Source organism: Homo sapiens, chromosome 4 (genome assembly GCF_000001405.40).
Source record: "Homo sapiens chromosome 4, GRCh38.p14 Primary Assembly".
Lineage (NCBI taxonomy): Eukaryota > Metazoa > Chordata > Mammalia > Primates > Hominidae > Homo > Homo sapiens.
In genome coordinates, this window is record NC_000004.12 from 39113642 (window position 1) to 39132146 (window position 18505).

At 40.2% G+C, this 18505-nt stretch overlaps 1 protein-coding gene across 22 annotated transcripts in view; it reads left to right on the top strand.

Moving 5' to 3' along the window:
• KLHL5 (kelch like family member 5) overlaps nucleotides 1-18505 on the top strand; it is a 98275-nt gene that overhangs the window by 68815 nt on the left and 10955 nt on the right. For 9 of the 22 annotated variants that reach the window (XM_017008276.2, XM_047415752.1, XM_011513700.3 and 6 more), the window contains one exon: nucleotides 1518-1689. In XM_017008276.2, coding sequence (XP_016863765.1) covers nucleotides 1518-1689 — 172 coding nt within the window. 22 annotated transcript variants of the gene reach the window in all.

The window sequence follows — 18505 nt, forward strand, 5'->3', positions numbered from 1 at the left end:
TGCCAGGTAGAGAGCCAAATAGCAGTGGAAGATTTGGATGGTAGGTCAGGTTCCCATTTATTATGTTTAGTCTAGTACAAGGAATAGAGAGAATTGAATGGATTTAGGTGGTACAATCAATAGGAGCTTGTCTGAACACTCCAAAGCAGAAAGAAATACTGAAAGGCAGCCATTGTGGCTGAAGAGCAAAGAGTGATGGGGAGGGAAAGGCAGGAAAGGAGGCGGAGTGGGCAGGGTGGTGCAGATCATCTAGACTCCTTGAGACATTGTTAAGGGTTTTGGACTATAAAGAAAAATAGGAAGTTAATGAGTGCCCATGTGTGACAGAGAGTGTGTGTGTGTGTTTGTGTCTGTTGGATGTGATCAGATTTTTTTAAAGATTAGTTTGATGTATTTAAGTTGTAAGTGACCAAGTGACCATAAGAAGGATAAAAAGTAAAATCAAAGTTTGTTGATGATAATGAGCACTATCTTAGTCTGTTTCCCATTGCTATAACAGAATATCCAGGACTGATTAATTTATAAAGAAAAGAGGTTTATTTAGCCCACAGTTCTCCAGGCTGGGAAGTTCAAGATTGGGAGGCTGCATCTGGCAGGTTCTGGTGAGGGCCTTGTGCTGTGTGATAACATGTTGGAGAATTGGAAGGGAAAGTCGGCATTCAAAAATGCAAAGCAACTTCACTTTATAACAGTCTGCTCTCACAGGAACTAATGCATTCACACAAGAACTAACCAAGGAGAAAAACACTAATCCATCTTATCAACCTGATCACCTCTTAAAGGCCCCACCTCCCAACACTATTACATTGGCAATTAAATTTCAACGTTGAGTTTTGGTGGGGATGAACCACATCCAAACCATAACAAGTGCTTTCTGTATTGGTGTTGTTTGAGAAAGCAGGAAAGTTACAACTGCATTTCACTATATTGGGGGGAAAACAATTGAGACCTATGCTCGTTGCATGTTGTAATCCAGGAAAGGAATGTGGAAGTGTTTATATACTTGGCCCCATGAATTATGGGCTTGCTGTTGTACTACACTCAGTGGAAAGCTGTTCATTGATACAACAGATTTTAGGGGCAGTATCAGTCATCTTAGCATGATGTATCTGCTCTTAGCTATACAACTTTGGGCAATTCTAGTTAAGACACCTCATGAAAAGAGCAAGACAGCCCAAAAATGGACAGCTACAATGATTGAGGGTGTAAGTCATCTTACACAGAGCTTAATGCATTGCTTTCCCCAAATTTTCGGTAGGTAATCTAAGGTCTGAAAGCAGTCTTCAGTATTGACACTAGCTCCTTTTAAGTGTTATACATCTGTTAAGTGGATCTATTAATATAATACTGTAAGTTAAAGTTTTCAGAGAAATACTGATATTTTTCTCTAAAATATGTTCAAATGTATTTGATTACATAGTAGATAATGAGTCAGAAGATAGACTTGAAGAACAAAACTGTTTTTACATAAATATTTTAAGAATAATGTCAGCTCCGGTTCTAAAATTTTCTTACAGATATGATCCCAAAACAGACATGTGGACTGCAGTAGCATCCATGAGCATCAGCAGAGATGCAGTGGGGGTCTGTTTACTTGGTGATAAGTTATATGCTGTTGGGGGGTATGATGGACAGGCATACCTTAATACTGTGGAGGCTTATGATCCCCAGACAAATGAGTGGACCCAGGTATGGCATTCATGTTTCATTATTACACTGACTCTCTTTTTATTAAAACAATTCTTATGGTAAAACAGATCCCCTCAATCTTGTCCAATACTGAAATATATGGCATAAATATGACAATCACGTTTTGATTAGCGATGAGAAAAAGAGGCAATGTTTAATTTTATAACATAATTAAAATCCAGAATTACCTTTGAGATGTAAGTTAATACTCAGAGAAATTATTAATTATCTGCTACCACTTGCATGATGAAGTGTTCTAGCCTGATTAAAGCTGATAGGACTACTGGAGGGCTGCAACAATGGGAGGGGAGACTGGAAAATAAAAACAAGGATAGTAGTCAGAAAACTTTGAACAACTTGCCCATGTGTGAGCAGTCGGATTTTTAAATACTCAACCCATTGATATCTGGGAGCAGATTAAAGTCCTGATAACCTAATGAAGATGGCAACCCTAAATTACACTGAGTAAGAAACCTGATCTGGCAGTCTTACTAACAGAAAGAATTTCACCCTTGTGTATTTCTGGGAGGGTCTAGCACTTCTAAAAATGATCTTTTGAGATCTTTGCTTCCATCATCACCAAGAACAGAATCAGGAATTTGTGCTTGTGTCACCCAGTTCAGTACTTGGTACATAAAAGACAATAAATGTTTAACTGAGCCAAGATTTTCTTGTATACAAGGAGCCATGATAAGTATGGTCAAGAAAACAAAGCTTCTAGGCCAGGCATGGTGGCTTATGCCTATAATCCCAGCACTTTGGGAGGCTGAGGCGGGCAGATCACGAGGTCAGGAGTTCAAGACCAGCCTGACCAATATGGTGAGACCCCATCTCTACTAAAAATACAAAAAAATTAGCCGGGCATGGTGGCACGTGCCTGTAATCCCAGCTACTCGGGGGGCTGAGGCAGGAGAATCGCTTGAACCCAGGAGGCAGAGGTTGCAGTGAGCAGAGATCATGCCACTGCACTTCAGCCTGGGTGACAGAGTGAGACTCCATCTTAAAAAAAAGAAAAGAAAAGAAAGCTTCTGAGAAGACCCATGGTCATGTAACCTGAGGTCTTGGGTAGGTAAGATCTACATGTGCAAGAGGAGAATGCACCACACAAGGCAGTGGGTATTTAGTGTCCCATGGTACAGGCGCCAAGTGATACGGGAGATAAGAGAGAAAAAAGAAAGTGGTTATGGGGAAAGCTTTAGTGAGAATGAAGGGGGATTTAAACCAAGCCTTAGTGAATTGATCCAATTCAAAAAGATTGGAAAGAAGAAATTGTGAGAAAATGTGAAAGAAATGTCACCAAAGCAGAATTGTGTAATACGTATTGAAGTATGACTGGTTATAGGATCTGTGCTTGAGAGGAGAAGGAGTGCTTACTGGAGAGGAAGATTGGGGTCAGAATGGAGATCTGTGAGACCAAAGTGGGAGGATCGCTTGAGGCCAGGAATTCCAGACCAGCATGGGTGACAAAGTGAGGCGCCATCTCTGCAAAAATTTGTGGGTTTTTTTGTTTTGGTTTTGTTTTTCAGACAGAGTCTTGCTCTCGTCACCTAGGCTGGAGTGCAATGGCACGATCTCAGCTCACTGCAACCTTCACCTCCCGCATTCAAGAGATTCCCCTGCCTCAGCCTCCCCAGTAGCTGGGATTACAGGTGCCCGCCACCACACCCAGCTAATTTTTCTATTTTTAGTAGAGACGGGGTTTTGTCATGTTGGCCAGGCTGGTCTCAAACTCCTGACCTCGTGATCCACCCACCTTGGCCTCTCAAAGTGCTGGGATTACAGGCATGAGCCACCATGCCCAGCCCCCAAAATTTTGAAAAATTAGCAAGGTGTGGTGGCACGCACCTGTAGTCCTATCTACTTGGGAGGCTGAGGCGGAAGATCGCTTGAGCCCAGGAGTTGAGGCTGAAGTGAACCATGATCATGACACTGCACTCCAGCCTGGACAACAGAGCAAGACTCTGTCTCTTAAAAATAATCATATAATAATGATTTTTTAAAAGAATGGGGATGTGTGAAGGCCAAGCTAAAGAGTTTGGTAACAAGAAGCCAGCAGAAACTTTCAACCAAGAGAATGATGCAGTTGGGGTCGCATAGGTTGGGTTAGGGGCAGGGGAAGTGAGGGCTGGATAAAAGGAAAAGTATTTAGAGGATTGCTTCAGTTGCAAGGCTTGAAGCATTCAATGTAGATGGATTCAAGAGATATTGCCAGGTCTTGTTGATCTTTCTTTATATACACACACTTACTGGGTTGAATTGGGAGGTGTGGTCTCTGAAGAAAACAGGAAAGGAATGATGAGAGAAGTTCTCAGAAGACAATGGAATAGAGCATCTAAAGGGAGGAGTAAGGAGTTTCAACAGTGTAAGAAAGAATGAAGATTTGTCATTTTTAAAGTTGTGGGACCCTCTGAAAATCTGATAGAAGCAGAAGCCAGCACACAGTTTCAAAAGTAAACAGAAGAGGCCAGGTACGGTGGCTCACACCTGTAATCCCAACACTTTGGGAGGCCAAGGTCGGCGGATCTTTTGGGGCCAGGAGTTCGAGACCAGCATGGCCGACATGGTGAAACCCTGTCTCTACTAAAAATACAAAAATTAATGCTCCTGTAGTCCCAGCTGAGGCACAAGGCTGAGGCAAAAGAATCGCTTGAACTCAGGAGGTGGAGATTGCAGTGAGCCAAGATCGTGCCACTGCACTCTAGCCTGGGTGACAGAGCGAGACTCCATCTAAAAAAAAAAAAAAAAAGTAAACAGAAGAATAGAGTGTAGGAGCTAGAGAGGCATGCAGTTTTTAAATGATGATGATAGAAAGTTAGTATTTATTGAGCATATCTTACAGGCCAGGCTCTGTTCTAAGCACTGTAAAGAATTTAATCTTCAACAACCCTATAAGGTTGAGTTCTGGTATTTTCGCACTGTACAGGATGAGGAATCTGACACAGAAGTTAAACAGCTAACCCAAGGCCACATAGCAAATAAATGGTGGAGTTAGAATTAGAGCCAAGGATTTTTTTTTTTTGCTCCACAATAGAGATGACAAGAAGAGGGTAGAGAGAGATTCCAGATACTAGAAAGAAAAAGTGAAACTGAAGGGCACCTTTCTGAGAAAAGGGCAGGAAACAGAATTAAGAGCAAAGACTGGGGGCAGGGCGCAGTGGCTTATGCCTGTAATCCCAGGACTTTGGGAGGCCAAGGCGGGTGGGTCACCTGAGGTCAGGAGTTCATGGCCAGCTTGGCCAACATGGTGAAACCCCATCTCTACTAAAAATACAAAAGTTAGCTGGGCGTGGTGGCGTGCACCTATAATCCCAGCTACTTGGGAGGCTGAGGCAGGAGAATCGCTTGAACCTGGGAGGCAGAGGTTGCAGTAAGCCAAGATCACGCCATTGCACTCCAACCTGGGTGACAAGAGCAAAACTCCCTCTCAAAAAAAAAAAGCAGACTGGTCACCCTCAGACTAGAAGAAAGATCTTACCCTCCAAGGCTTGGGAAAAGATGAGAATTTGAGTGTAGAAAGGTACAGGGAGTTTTTAAGTGAAGAGAAAGAGAAGAAAAGGACTTAGATTGTGTGGGCTTTATCCTGTTTCTTAAGTGAGATCACTTGATGGAGGGAGGAAGGGATAAGATTGAGAGCTACAAGATTTCATTGGAAATTAGATGATTACCTAATATCAGCTTCCCACTATGGCAAAAATAGTTGTGAATGACACCCAAGGAGCTCAGAAAGATAAGAATCTCTTTTTCTGACATGTATTTAAGCCCTAAGTCCAGTTATATATATGATTTAAGACCTATCAGCCAGTTATTTGAGACTTGTTATTATTTATAATTAATGCTTTATGCTAAATCACCCCATATCAAAATTGATCATCAGTGTCCACATAGCTATTTTGCTTGCAAGCCACCTCTCTATGTTAAAGCACCTAAAAATGTGAACTCGTTATCATAGTGTCTGAAAAATAAAAGTTTTCCTGGGCCAGGCATGGTGGCTCACCCCTGTAATCCCGGCACTTTGGGAGGCCGAAGCAGGTGGTTTGCCTGAGCTCAGGAGTTCGAGACAGCCTGGGCAACATGGTAAAGCCCTGTCTCTACTAAAATACAAAAAATTAGCCAGGTATGGTGGTGTGTGCCAGTAGTCCCAGCTACTCAGGAGGCTGCGGCATGAGAATTGCTTGAACCCAGGAGGTGGAGGTTGCAGTGAGCCGAGATGTGCCATTGCACTCCAGCCTGGGTGACAGTGCAAGACTCCATCTCAAAAACAAGCCAAACAAACAAAAAAATTTTGAAGTTTTCCTTTCAGTGTTCTGACAGATGGACATTTGTATAGGCACTAAAATGAGATGACAAAGTCCTAAGCCACTACCCACCTCACTACCAGCCTTACCTCAAAGCAAGAGGTGATTGCATTGTATTTAACAAATTCTCTAAGCTACACTTTCTAGCTAGTTGTCATGACAGTGTCAGCTATTCACAATGTAGAGACTAAGTGTCTTGGATGATTTGAGAAGAGCTACTAATTATAAACTGACATTTTGATATAAATGATTTTTGAGGTCAGTTCGATAATGCTATCAATAAGTATGGTTTTAAAATAGGTTGATTGTTCCAAGAGACTTACAGTGATCAAAACAACTGATTCAGATGGAGAACTACTGAGAATTCTCTTATAACTGAAGTCTGACCTGTTCTTAAAATCTACTCATTGGTCTAGGGGGTCGAACTGATTAGGAAGTCATTTTGGCATTTGACAAAAATACTTTAGTACATACCCTAACATATATAAGTACAAAGCAAACTTTCTTAGTACTTTGCATTACTCACCCGCTGAATCCATGTTAACATTTTAACTCTCCTGGGTCAAATGCATAGATTCTTACTGTGTTCAGAGTAATTCTTCAGAACTATTTTTGTCCACACTTTTATTTCCACTATGAATTACCCAGTGTCTAGAGTTCCTATTGTTCAAAAAAGAGGTGAAAGATTTAAGAATTGTTCTTTATCCATAAATTTAGATTGCATTCCTTCCCCTAGCAACCCTCCCCTGACTTCTATCTCACTGTAATAGAGCTCATTCACTGAGTTTGTTTCCACTCCCAGGGGAGTTGGATGGGTAGCATTTATTATTTATTTAGTCTGCTAAAAAGTAGTAGAATGGGTTTAGACTTTTCAGCCATGCACGTAGAAGGTAGTCAAAAAATGTGAGGTTATGAGTTCTTCTAGAATAAGCAGATCCCCAGGCATTCAGAGTATTTTGTGTGCTACCTCTGAGATAGCATGGCTGTTAGAGGACCTCTCTAGATAACACTTGATCTTTCCTCCATATTGGTCACAGAGTTACTGTAAGTGTTCAGCATTTCTTCATATCCATACTGTGTATCATTTTGGCTAAAATAGAGTGTTTCATGTAGATTAATTCTTGAGCTGTTTTAAAAATCACCTTTAAAGAAGAATGAATGCTACACAATCATGATGTACCCAAAACAACTTAGTCTATGAAACTTTGCCATGGAAGGTGGCTCTTGGGAAGGGGACCAGGCCAGAAACAGCGCTGATACAGCAGGGGCCAGGGCAACAACCCTTTGCCAACAAGTACAGGCTGTTTCAATATTTCACCAACTGGCATAGTAGTGTTGACATTTTAACCTACAGATCCAATACATATCTCTTTTTCCTTTTTAGGTTGCTCCACTGTGCCTAGGAAGAGCTGGAGCTTGTGTTGTGACTGTAAAATTATAATTTAGTGCCCCGTTTTCTACATGAAGACACCGTCTTCCTTTATTAATTTAGTATAATTATTCTATCAATGGATACATTTTTAGTAAATGTGCATTGTCACAATCCTGGGCACAAAGTGCCTGATGTCAAAATGAAGATAGTAAAACAAGGGAGGAAGCAGTGGATGGACCAGGATTAATTCCTTTCATTTCTTAGTAAATTAAAACCTGCAGCTGGTGGATTGTGATCACACATTCCCGAAGTAATAAGTGAGGACGAATGCACTGCTCTGGAACATAACCCAGTGCTAACTGGGGGTTTCATTTATTCAGTCAAGCACATCTTACTCACATCCAGATTTATTTTCCTACAGTGCAAACACACCAGATGAAACTTTAAAATGTTACTTTTTGTAAGCTTATCATAAATGAGTTGCAGTAATTTGTTTGCTTGTTTGTTTAACCACAACCACTATTTTAATGATATACTAAAGATAACACTATTTAGTTTTTTCAGAAACATCTGCATTATATGTGTGTTGGTTGTGGATTTTGTTTCTAAAATTGGCTTAGTCCAATAAATAAAGAAAAGCATTAAGGACTTAAAGCAACAATAACCAAATAAAAACTTGATAGGATCTTTGAAGTCTATTTAAATATTCATTCCATTACATCTAGACTCACCAAGAACTACATGTTATGATGTTAAGTTGAAGTTGAAACATGATGTTTTGCATTAAATTTAAGATATGCAAATTTATGTAGAGAAAATAAATGTTATATACCCTATAATCTTTCACCTAATTAGTATTTAATTATATGGATTTGTTTTATATTATAAAAGATGTTTTGATTTTGTCTTTTGATATTGACAAAATTGTTTGGATATCCTTATGTTCTCAAGTCTGTATCTGCCTCCCCTGCCTTATTTCTTATGTTTTGCCACAGTTAACCCATTGTGCTTCTTTGTAATCAAACAGTTTGTGGGAGAATGGGCTTATTGAATGTCTAAAAAATAAGTTTAAAGTGTTTGTTACCCTAAGTTTTTTACATTTTTAAACTCTAATTACATATGTGAATGTTATTACTCTCAGTGAATTGTTATTGTTTGCAAAAATGCACTGGGCAGTAACATTTTGTGATAAATCCTATAAGATATAAGTCATTGAGATGTCTAAGATGCTTTTTATTTTAACCCCAGTTAATAACCACCTTACGGAAAATAATATTTGCTAATATTGTTTATTGTGAACTAGGAATCAAAGTTTTTGTATGCATCAATGCACTTAATCCTTATAACAACCTTATGAGGTAGTTCTATTCCCTTTTTATAGCTAAGGAAATTGGGGTACAGAGAAGTTAGCCCCAAGGTTATATATTGCAAGTAAGTGGCAGAGCAGGGATTCATACAAAGACCTTCTCACTCAGCAGTCTTCACTCTTACTATTCCTGCCACTAGGTAGAAAAAGAAAGATTTCGGCCGGGCACAGTGGCTCACGCCTATAATTCCCAGCACTTTGGGAGGCTGAGGTGGGCGGATCACGAGGTCAGGAGATGGAGACCATCCTGGCTAACACAGTGAAACCCCGTCTCTACTAAAAATAAAAAATAAAAAAAAATTAGCCAGGCGTGGTGGCGGGTGCCTGTACGCCCAGCTACTCGGGAGGCTGAGGCGGGAGAATGGCGTGAACCCAGGAGGAGGAGCTTGCAGTGTGCCAAGATCGCACCACTGCACTCCAGCCTGGGTGACAGAGCGAGACTCCATCAAAAAAAAATAAATAAAAAAAAAATAAAAGATTTCATTTTATGTGAGGAATTATTTTAATAAAAAAAAGAGGGTTTATGCTCTATAGTAATAAAATTTACCAGTAACACCCAATCAGAAAATTTTGGTTCCTTAGTATTTAGGGAAGACTTTTGTTTAAATCTCTTATGGAATTTTACATGTTTTGATTTAGAAAAGTAGATGCAATATAATATATTTCAAGTTTTATACATATTAGATGAATTGCATGGTATTTTAGGCAACTTAACTATAAACAAATTTATTCATAGAAGCATTGTTGCCAACAATTTAGATGACCTCGATGAAAAAACACACCAATTGACAAAACTGGCTCAAAAGGAAATAAAAAATCCAAACAGACCTGTAACAAGTAAAGAGATTGAACCAGTAATCAAAAATCTCCCAACAAAGAAAGTCCAGGACTAAATGAGTTTACTGGCAAACTATGCCAAACATATAAAGAAGAATTAACACTAATCCTTCTCGAACTCTCCCAAAAAATGGAAGAGAAAGGAGCACCCTGTGACATTCTATAAGGCGGACATTACCTTAACACCAAAGCCAGACAAAGACCTCACAGGGAAGCTACAGACCAATATCCCTTATGAATATAGATGCAAAAAAACTTCAAAATACTAGCAGGCCAAATCCAGCAGCTTATTAAAATGATCACACAGCATGACCAAGTGAGATTTATCAAAGAAATGCAGGGATGGTTCTACATACAAATGTCAATCGATGTAATAATATACCATATTAATAGAATGAAGGGGAAAAAACAGCATGATCACCTCAATTGATAAGAAAAAGCATTTGACAAAAATCCAACACCCTTTCATGGTAAAAACACTCTGCAAACTAGGAAGAAAAGGGAACTTTCTTAACCTGATAAAGACATCCATAAAAACCCACAGCTAACAACATAATAGCAAAACATTGAAAATTTTTCCCCTAATATCATGAAAATTCCTGATTTCCCCACTGCTATTCAACATTATACTAGAAGGTCTAGCCAGAGCAATTAGGCAAGAAAAAGAAATAAAATGAATCCCAAATAGGAAGAAGTAAAACTACATTTGCAGAAAACATGGTCCTATATATTAAAAATCCTAAAGAATCCACAAAATGATTCCGGCTGATTTTAAAAATTCAGCAATGTTGCAGGTTGCAAGATCAACACACAAAAGTCTAAGAAAAACCTGAGGGGAAATTAAAACAATTTCATTTACAATAACATGAAAAAGAATAAAATACTTAGAAATAAATTTGACCAAGAAAGTGCAAGACTTGGACACTGAAAAGTACAAAACGTTGCTGAAAGAAATTAAAGAAGACCTAAATAAATGGAAGACATCCTGTGCTGGCAGGTTGGAAGACTTAACATTGTTAAGATGGCATTACTCCCAAAATTAGTCTATAGATTTAATACAATCCCCATTAAAATTCCAGTGACCCTTTTACAGAAACTGAAAAGCTGACCCTAGAATTTATATGGGATTGCAAGTTACTGAAGGTACTCAAGTCTGTTCAAAACAATCTTGAACAAGAATAAAGTTGAAGGACTCACATTTTCCAATTTCAAAATTTACTGCAAAGCTACTTCAATCAAAACAGTGTTGTGCTGGTATAAAAATATATAAAGCAATAGAGTAGAATGGAAAGTCCAGAAACAAATTACGCCAATACACTATGGTCAATTGATTTTTGACAAGGGTTCCAGGACCATTCAATGAAGAAAGAACAGTGTCTTCAACTAATAGTGCTAAGACAAGTGAATATTCACATGCAAAAGAATGAATTTGTACCTGTACTTCATACCATATATAAAAATTAATTCAAAATAGATCAAAGACCTAAATGTAAGAGCTAAAACCATAAAACTTTGAGAAGAAAATACAGGAATAAATCTTCATGACCTTGGATTTGGCAATGGTTTCTTAGATATGGCACCAAAAGCACAAGCAACAACAGCAAAAAAAAAAAAAAAAAAAAAAAATCAAAATTAAAAGCTTCTACATATCAAGGGACACTATGAAGAAAGTGAAAAGACAACCCACAGAATGGGAGAAAATATTTGTAAATCTTACATATCTGGTAAGGAACTAATACCTAGAATATATAAGGAACTCCGATGCTCGACAACAAAAAGACAAACCAATTTTAAAATGGGCAAAGGACTTAAATAGACATTTCTCTAATGAAGATATACAAATGGCCGACAAGCACATGGAAAGCACTCAACCTCATCAGTCATTATGCAAATCAGCGCCACAAGAAGATACCACTTCACACCTATTAGAATGACGAAATAGACCTAGGATCTAAACCTACAGGAAAAAAAATGAATAATAGAGAAAATAAATGTTAGAGAGGATGTGGAGAAATTGAAAACCTTCATTCGTTGTTGGTGGGAATGTTAAATGGTGTAGCCACTGTGGAAAACAGTTTGGCAGTTCCTCAATAAGTTAAAAAAAAGAATTACCATATGACCCAGCAAGTCCACTCCTGGGCATATACTGAAAAGAACTGAAAACAGGTGTTCAAGCAAAAACTTTCACGCAAATATTCATTGCAGCACTAGTCACAGTAGCCAAAAAAGAGGAAACAACCCAAATGGCCATCAGCTGATGAATGAATAAACAAATTGTGGTATCTCCACACGGCACAATAGAATATTCAGCCATAAAGAGAAATGAGGGACTGATACATGCTAAAGCATGGATGAGCCTTGAGCGCATTTTTGCCAAGTGAAAGAAGGCAGACACAAAAGGCAACGTATTGCATGAGTGCATTTATATGAAATATCCAAAATAGGCAAATCCATGGAGACAGAAAGCAGATAAATGGTTGTAAGAAGCTGAGAGAAAGGAGTGGGGAGAGATTGCTAAAAAGGAGTTTCCTTCTAGGGTGATGAAAATGTTCTGGAACTACTTATTGGGGATGATTGCACAACATGGTGAAGGTACTCAATGTCACTAATGGTAAATTTCACATACACTTTACCATAATTTTTAAAAAGCTTTATTAGCTACATTATGTTATGATACTTAAATGTCATAACAATAGCATTCTGTACGCTTCACTAGGATAAAAACTTCGGATTTATATGCATCTGGAAGAGAAATTTTTCACTGTAATTTGCAAATAAATGAATTTCTAAAAATCTAACAGAAAGGCTCTTAAATCTTAATTTCAACCTAAGAAGGGAGTGAGAAACAACGAGAACCATGAGGGGAGAGTTAACGGGGAACTTCCCCACCGTCCGGTACATGGCAGGCATTCCACAAATGTTTTCTGAAAGTTGAAATAGACATCTTTTCATGAACTCTGTAATATTTGAAATTATTGATAACTCTTACACAAAAACAAATATTCAATAAAATGATATTTAATTTCACTGTGACTAGATAATACTCATGTAATATTTTTTATTTTTTAACTGGAGTAAAAAAAATCAAATGCCATGAAAAATTACAGGCTACTTATGGCATTTTCATCATTCTGAGTCTTAAAGAACTTATATGAACGCACCACCTCTTCCATCACAGCCTCTGTCCTCATTCCTGAGATGTAGGAGAGTACCGTGTTTTTTTGTATCTTCTCCTGGGGCTGAACAACTTGCAAGCCTCTTGAAGAAATGCCGTATTGACAGATGTGGGTATTGGCATCATCGCTAGACTTCACTGCCACCCTCATTTCCCCCTAGTCCTGGGTAATTATTTGGGCTAACGAGGTATAATCTAGAAAGCAAACCCAGGGAAGCTCGGGAAGCAAATCTAGTGCCCTGGATCTTTGCCCAGGTTCAAGCTGGTTCCATTTGACCATATTTCTTTGTGGATAATAAACAATTATATTTAATTCAGGTATTTTCACATACTTTTGAGGACAGCAAAGATCACCTGGTGGCCATCAAGCAGACCATCTGGAGGCAAAACTCCTTATCTGAGGAATTCAGAAGTCATTAGACTGCCCTATTATCTAAAGCCGGCATCTTGTACTAGGCTTCTTTACCAAAAATGTATTTAATGTAAGTAACTAGAATTTTTATACATCTCCGGAATGAATGTGTGTCAGAAGTTACTGGGCAACCCTTGCTGACGTCAAGGCACCAAAATGTGTACAAATGTAATCGTTTACCATGACCTGTGTAACGAATGTGGTCAAAATTACCCTTACACTCCTGCTTTAAGGTCCATAAATACCTTGTTATTACTCCATTTTCACACTGCTATAAAGAACTCACACCTGCAATCCCAGCACTTTGGGAGGCTGAGGCTGGGGGATTGCTTGAGCTCAGGAGTTCGAGACCAGCCTGGGCAACATCTTGAGACCCCTGTCTGTACTAAAAATACTAAAATTAGCCAGGAATAGTCCCAGCCACTTGGGAGGCTGAAGTGGGAGGATCACTTCAGCCCAGGAGACGGAGGTTGCAGTGAGCTGACATTGCACCACTGCACTCCAGCCTTGGTGACAGGTGACCTTGTGTCAAAAAAAAAAAAAGTTACAAATAATACAACTTAAATGAGTACTGATTTTCAGGGAGGCGTTCACCTTCGGGGGAAGAAAAGGAAAAACAAAAAGGACGTAGAGTAAATTTGGGGGTTTTTTGTTTGTTTGATTGGTTGATTTTGTTTTGAGACAGGGTCTTGCTCTGTCGCCCAGGCTGGAGTGTAATGGCCTGATTATAGCTCACTACGTCCACAACTTCCTGGGCTTAAGCAGCCACCTCAGCCTCAGCCTCAGCCTCTCAGTAGCTGGGACTACAGGCATGCACCACCATGTTTGGCTAATTTTTTTTTTCTGTTTTTATTTTTTGTAGAGACAGGATCTCACGTTGTTACCCAGGCTGGTTTCAGACTCCTGTGCTCAAGCGATCTTCCCGCCTCCTCTTCCCAAAGTGCTGGGATTGTAGGCCTGGGTCACCACACCGACCTGGCGCAAATTTTGTGGAAGGAAAGAGGTCCCTGCTTAGTGGTAGCTGGAGTGATGAGGTTAGGGAGAAGCTGTCATTCAGAGCCATCTCTGCAGTGACAAGAATAGCTGTGCTGTGTGAGAACCTCAGAGAAGAAAAATGTTGGGTAATAAGTTTGGCAAAAGCTGACCTACCTATTGTCTGATTCTGTATCAGAAACTCAGTAGCAAAGCAGCAGAGACGGACTGGCAGAGTGAGTTAATCCAATAGAGAATCCCTTGACCTCAGAAACTTTCTGATCAATAAGGCATTGAGCAAAACAGTAGGGAGACTAAGATCCTATACAGTAATAGATGATAAAACAAAGGAGGGGAGAGAATGGTAGTTCCTTAAGGCCACATATGGCGGTATATTTTTGTATTCCCTGCAGCACTTAGCACTTTATCTATTGTTATACCTTCACATAATTAGCTTCCACTAATTATTCATTGAATATAAATATGAAGTAGATTTGATCTTTTGAGGTAAACCATCTCCGAGGTATTGGAGTGTGAGTTTATAGTATCACAGATTCTGAAACACAGAACAGAAAGAATCCTTGCAGCTTCCTTGTTCACATGTTGGTGGGGGTGGACTAGGAGAGGGGTGGAAAGCCTGGGCATGGAAGAGAGAAAGCCAGGATACCTTCAGAAAGTAGTGAGTGGCCCAGGCTGGCTGCAGTGTGGAACATGTGCAGAAGGATGGAGGGAACTATCTGCCAATTTATTGTTTTTAAAATTAATTTTATCATTACAGTTTGTAATTCATTGTTTCAAATTAAAAATGCCAGCCATTCAGTGCTGGGATAAAGACTGCCAGCAGAATAAATAAAGTAATAACAAAACTAATTTTTAAAATGCCAATCATGCCTTCTGTCTGTACATGACTAATATTATGGATGCTAGACGCAGTGGCTCACACCTGTAATCCCAGCACTTTGGGAGGCCAAGGCAGGAGGATCACTTGAGGCCAGGAGTTCGAGACCAGCCTGGGAACACAGGGAGACCTCGTCTCTACAAATATGTTTTTTAAAAATTAGCCAGGCGTGATGGTGTGCACCTCTGGTCCCAGCTACTCAGGAGGCAGAGACAGGAGGATTGCCTGAGCCTGGGAGGCCAAGGCTGCAGTGAGCTACGATCAGCCTGGGTGACAGAGTGAGACCTTGCCTCAAAAAATAAAAAATAAAATAAAATATATGGAGACACAGCAGCTGGTCATAAAATTGCCAAAGATGCAATCAGCAAGCGGGCCCCCATACACTCAGTCCAGCTGCTCCTCCCTCCCAACCTTGTTTAAGTAGCCATACGGACTGCTTCCAGCTGAAATACATTAACTAAGCGGTCTATTTTCTCTTCTCCCAGCAATATTACAACATATTTTCTTAAAAAAAAAAAACAATTACAACTTTTTTTTTTTTTTGAGACGGAGTCTTGCTCTGTTGCCCAGGCTGGAGTGCAGTGGCATTGCCCAGGCTGGAGTGCAGTGGCACAATCTCGGCTCACTGCAACCTCCGCCTCCTGGGTTCAAGTGGTTCTCCTGCCTCAGCCTCCTGAATAGCTGGGATTACAGGCATGTGCCACTACATCTGGCTGATTTTTTTGTATTTTCAGTAGAGACAGGGTTTCACCATGTTGGTCAGGCTGGTCTCAAACTCCTGACCTCGTGATCCGCCCGCCTTGGCCTCCCAAAGTGCTGGGATTACAGGCATGAGTCACTGTGCCTGGCTTCAACTTTTATTTCAGAGTTAGGGGGATACAAGTGTAGGTTTGTTACATAGGTATATTGTGTGATGCTGAGGTTTGGGGTACGGATGATCCTGTCACTTCGGTGGTGAACACAGCACCCAACAGATAGTTTTTCAGCCCACAGCCCCTACCTCCCTTCCCTCTGTAGGAGTCTCCAGTGTCTATTGTTCCATCTTTATGTCCTTTATAACAGATTTTCAAATGTTATTGTATTTTACTCAATATTTGGGTTGTGGAGAAATTTTATAATTTATTTGCATTACATAAATCCTTCACAATGAGAAACAGTCATTGCAAAGATTGTACCAGATGATTGGTCAGATCCCTTCCAGCTCCAGTATTCACTAAGGTAGACTGAATATCACATGACTGTCTCCTGGGAACCCACCCAGCAACTATAACATCTTTGAATATGAATCCCAGCCAGAACCTGGAATGCCACAGGAGTTGTTACCCCATTGCTTGAACTACAATCCAGTGATTCTCAACTACAGTGTCATGGTAGGATTACCTGTGCTGAGACTAGCTCGGTCGGGGAGACCCTAATCCAGCGGCGCTAGAGGAATTAAAGACATATACGCAGAAATATAGAGGTGTGAAGTGGGAAATCAGGGGTCTCACAGCCTTCAGAGCAGAGAGCCCCGAACAGAGATTTACCCACATACTTATTAACAGCAAGCCAGTCATTAGCATTGTTTCTGTAGATATTAAATTAACAAAGTATCCCTTATGGGAAACGAAGGGATGGGCCGAATTAAAGGAATAGGTTGGGCTAGTTAACTGCAGCAGGAGCAAGTTCTTAAGGCACAGATCGCTCATGCTATTGTTTGTGGCTTAAGAATGTCTTTAAGCAGTATTCTGCCCTAGGTGGGCCAGGTGTTCCTTACCCTCATTCCCGTAAACCCACAACCTTCCAGTGTGGGCGTTATGGCCATCATGAACATGTCACAGTGCTGCAGAGATTTTATTTATGGCCAGTTTTGGGGTCAGTTTATGGCCAGATTTTGGGGGGCTTGTTCCCAACAACTCAAAGAATTTTAAAATACATAGATGCCTGCACTTCACTCCAGGTGTGACATCTTGGGATGCCAATCCCAGCCAGAACCCAGGTGATTCTAATGTGCAGCCACCTTTAGGAGGATGACCAGGCCCCATTCCACACAATGGTGCCGTAGGCTCCTCTCACACTGCGTCCCTGACTCACCAACTTCTTCAAATCCGGGCCCTTTGTGTTATTCCACGAGCAAACTTTTCAAGCACCCTCAAGCACGTTTACAAGAGCCAGTTATTTACATAATTATGAGATTACAAATAATTCTTTTTTTTTTTCTTTTGAGACAAGGTCTCACTCTGTCTCCCAGGCTGCAGCTTAATGGTGTGATCTCGGCTCACGGCAACCTCCACATCATAGGCTCAAGCAATCCTCCTGCCTCAGCCTCCCAAGTACCTGGGACTACAGGCATGCACTACCATGCCTGGCAAATTTTTGTATTTTTTTTTTTTTTTTGTAGAGATAGCATATCACCATGTTGGCCAGGCTGGTCAAGAACTCCTGGACTCAAGAGATCTGCCTGCCTTGGCCTCCCAAAGTGCTAGGATTACAGGTGTGAGCCACCGTGCCCAGCCTGACATTACAAATCCTTTTTATCTGCTAAAGTTCCCTGAAGACAACTACTAGGTACTTTACTAGTTGTATCAAGCCAGTGCAAGATATACAATTTAATTTATTTTAAAACATCATACCATGTGGAGGTTTCTACTAATTTAGTTGAGCTTTCCCAAATTATACCAAATCAGTGAGGCTGACAAATATCATATTTTTGTAAAAGAAATGGAATATTTTAATTAAAGTTACTTAAAGAGATATTTGTGAGAGTCTAAAATGGATCAGAGCTTTTAAAGCCATGAACAACTCAGCAGACATTGGTTTCTGGGTACCATGTTTGAGTAGATTATTCAGAAGAATCATCCTGCTTAAAACCACCACAAATTCAGAATGAAACATAAAATATGTTATCTTTAAAGCATTAAAGCACAGACAAAATTTTCAGGATTAAGAGGACAAAAATCTAAGTGAAAGCCAACCAGGTGCAGTGGTTCATGCCTGTAATCCTAGCACTTTGGGAGGCCCAGGCAGGATTGCTTGAGCCCAGGAGTTTGAGACCAGCCTGGGGCAACATAGTGACATCTGTCTCTACAAAAAATACAAAAATTAGCCGGGTGTGGTGGTGCATGCTTGTAGTCCCAGCTAGTTAGGAGGCTGAGGTGAGAAGATTGCTTGAGCCTGGGAAGTTGAGGCTCCAGTGAGCCAAGATCACACCACTGCAGTGCAGCCTGGGTGATAGAGCGAGACCCTGTCTCAAAAAAAAAAAAAAAAGAAAAAAATCCAAGTGAAAGGAGAGAAGACTTGGAAAAATAAGCAGAGAACTGAAGCTCTTTTGCCCCAAGGGCATTTGCCAAACTCTCAAAAATTCCCCTTCGGTTCTGTCGACCTCCCAGGGGATGGGATAGAGAACTCAAAACCTAGGATCTGTCCAAGGTGGGAAGATCCTATTTCTATATAGCTGGGACCTCTAAGTACTACAGCTTCGAAGGTAAGGACAAACCAGAAGAACACCTA